General features: G+C 36.4%; 1 annotated feature.

Moving 5' to 3' along the window:
- Positions 1059 to 2258: an enhancer, noted in NCBI's record as "MED14-independent group 3 enhancer chr6:63708848-63710047 (GRCh37/hg19 assembly coordinates)". NCBI's record gives its function as "activates an origin of replication core promoter dependent on BRD2, BRD4, P300/CBP and CDK7 cofactors, and independent of MED14, by STARR-seq in HCT116 cells {active_cell/tissue: HCT116}" and the evidence as "EXISTENCE:reporter gene assay evidence [ECO:0000049][PMID:35650434]".

Genomic DNA, 2919 nt, shown 5'->3' on the forward strand with positions numbered 1-2919 from the left:
TAAGGTCTGTGTACTGAAGACCTTTCTCTGGAGCCTCAGTAAATGTATGTAATCTAAATGGATCCAGGTGCTGGGGTGACTACCCTTACCTTATCTCCTGCTAAATCACTGAGGAGTTCCTTCAGACCCCCAGTAAACTTGTTTTGGAGGCCTGGGGAGTTTCTTCAGACCCGCAATAAAACGTGTTTAATTCTAAATGGGTCTGTTAAGAATTCCTTCATTATTTTATCATGCTTTAAGGCCCAGGAAAGGCCTAGGCAAAACTCTTCATGGGCTTTTGTTACATCCCAGCCTTTGTATAAGGGAACTGGCTTTTAATATTTAACTTAACCACTCAGTCAGTACTGAAACAGTTGTTAGTGAAAACTGGCCAGCCCCATTTCCATATGGGAGTTTAAAATTAATTTAAAAATTAATGGCTGGGTGCAGTAGCTCATGCCTGTAATCCCAGAACTTAGGGTGGCAGAGGTGGGTGGATCACTTGAGGTCAGGAGTTTGATACCAGCCTGGCCAACATGGGAAAACCCTGCCTCTCCTAAAAATACAAAAAAATTAGCCAGGTGTGGTAGTGCAAGCCCGTAATCCCAGCTACTCGAGAGGCTGAGGCATGAGAATCGCTTGAACCCAGGAGGCAGAGGTTGCAGTGAGCTGAGATCATGCCACTACACTCCAGCCTGGGTGACAGAGTGAGAGTCAGTCTCAAAGAAAATTTAAAAATTAATAATTCTAATATTTTTATTAACATATATTCACGTATCTGTTTCAACAATGCCAGTAAAAAATAATGATACTATTAAGAAAAAAGAACTAGCTATTTGAGTGAACAAAAATATGGTGAAAGAACAAATGACTTTTAAAAAAATGGCATGGAAAGTAATCACTGCTTTTTAAAAGATGTCAGAAAACATCTGAAAAGACAACAAGAGTATACTATCTTCAACAGACTAAAAGTTTTACCATTCTAATTCTAACAGCTTTCCTCTGGTTTTTCTTTTAAAATTCATAGCATATTATCTACAGATTTACACAATTTGCAATAAAAAAGCTATAATAGTAAAGTGTATGATTTACCAAAGAAGGCTGAGATATTTTAAATATTTTTTTTAAATGGGGCTGTTTTAAGTGGCTTACTTTGATTGGGAACTCTTAAATCAGAATAGAGCTTCCTCTGGGTTAGAAAAATATCTATTAACATTTTTCATAACTAACAGAGGGTCTTTCATTCTAAGTGCCTTTTTATGAATGCTGGGAATAACGTTCAAAATCCTAAGGAAATTGAACACTCAAACACAGGATTCTTAGCAAAGTAATTTTACTTCTGCACAGAGGGGTGCTTCTCCTTGGCCAGTCACCATGAGAGCACACCTGAACAAAGGGGCACAAGAGCCTTTATTCCTGACACAAGTCCTGCCCCTGTACACTTTCCCCATTGGCTGGGGTCAGGCCATACAATCTAAAGTAATCCCGGCGGGCTAAACATTTGAAATTTTTTTAGATAAGGTGGGCACGTAAGGGAGAGAGAGGAAAGGGGAAGGGGTGTCTGCAATGAGCTAGAGAGCTAGTATTCTTTCCAGATAAGGAAAGGAATGTGAGCTGGTACTGATAATGCCTGGTACTGTGGCATGTCTGGGCATGTAACAAAGGCAGAAAGGAAGAAAAAAGAGAAAAAGGGAAAAGGGGTAGGGGGCACTATGAATTAAAGAATAAAGGATTGATCAGCCTATTTGAAGAGAAACCTCATCATATCCCACAATGAATAAAACACTATAAGATACTTAACCTAAATTGGTTCTTCTGTCCCAGTTTTTGGATCTTACAGGTCAAAATTTGCACCTTAAATTATTAGGTGTAAATCATTTAACGGTCATAACACATTTAACTCATCTTAGTACTCTTTTAGAAGTTGTTAGTGACTTACCTAAACAATTCAGCAGTCCAGGCAATTGCCCATGACCTGTGGCTTTCCTGCATTTCTCTTACTACCTACAAATCTTCCTGGCACTCAGGAGGAAACAGGACTAAGGCTTGCCTTAGAAAAGTTGTGGATAATGAGAAATTTTCCTTGAAGTAAAAATTATCTGATTTGGTGCTTAATTCTTTCACAGTGCAGGAATTTTGCTCATTCTGTAAATTACAAGGCACCATCTATGGTAATGATTTACAGTCATTTGTAAGCTGGAGGCAGAAACTGACTCATAAAAGGGAATGTGTATTTCATTTTATCATCTACCAAACATTTATCTGATTTCTGCGAAGAAATTTAATATGCAGCAAGTTGGTAGAAAGTATTCTACACCAATGTCAATTTCAAAATCTGCCTTTAAAACTTCAGTAACTTCTGCTACTCAAGGGAAATTTATTGAATAAAAATAGATGACAAGGAATAGACAACCTGAAAACATGTCTCTTTCTTGGATCACATAAGCCTTTTATAAAGGATGCTAATAAAATGTATCCATAATATGTCAGAACAATTATTTAACTTGACTATCAAAGAACTAGAAACTGAAGTAGAGTAATTACAATTAATTCAGTGGCTGTAGTTTTTTTTTTTAACAGGGACTTAAATCATTAAGAAATTAAAGTTGGCAATAATTTGTTTTGTACTGGGAGCCCTATAAGAAATATCTGAGAAAAATGAAATCTGTGAAAGATTAATAAAAAACAAGAGGAAGGCAGTTGGATTTACATGACTTAATGTCAGTAAAATACATTGTCCTCATTGACACCAGTCAGATATTTTCTAGCAGTGAAAATAGGTTCTATCAACTATCTATTAACATATGAGGTAGGCTTTAAAACAATTAAATTAGTTTTTAACCAAATATCTGGTTCTTTCACATTGGATAGACATGTTGTTTATTTAATTCTGAAACTTAGAGACAAAATGGTAAGCATTTTAATTCCTTAGGGGAAAAC

The sequence above is a fragment of the Homo sapiens genome, chromosome 6, assembly GCF_000001405.40.
Source record: "Homo sapiens chromosome 6, GRCh38.p14 Primary Assembly".
In the NCBI taxonomy this organism is placed as follows: Eukaryota; Metazoa; Chordata; class Mammalia; order Primates; family Hominidae; genus Homo; species Homo sapiens.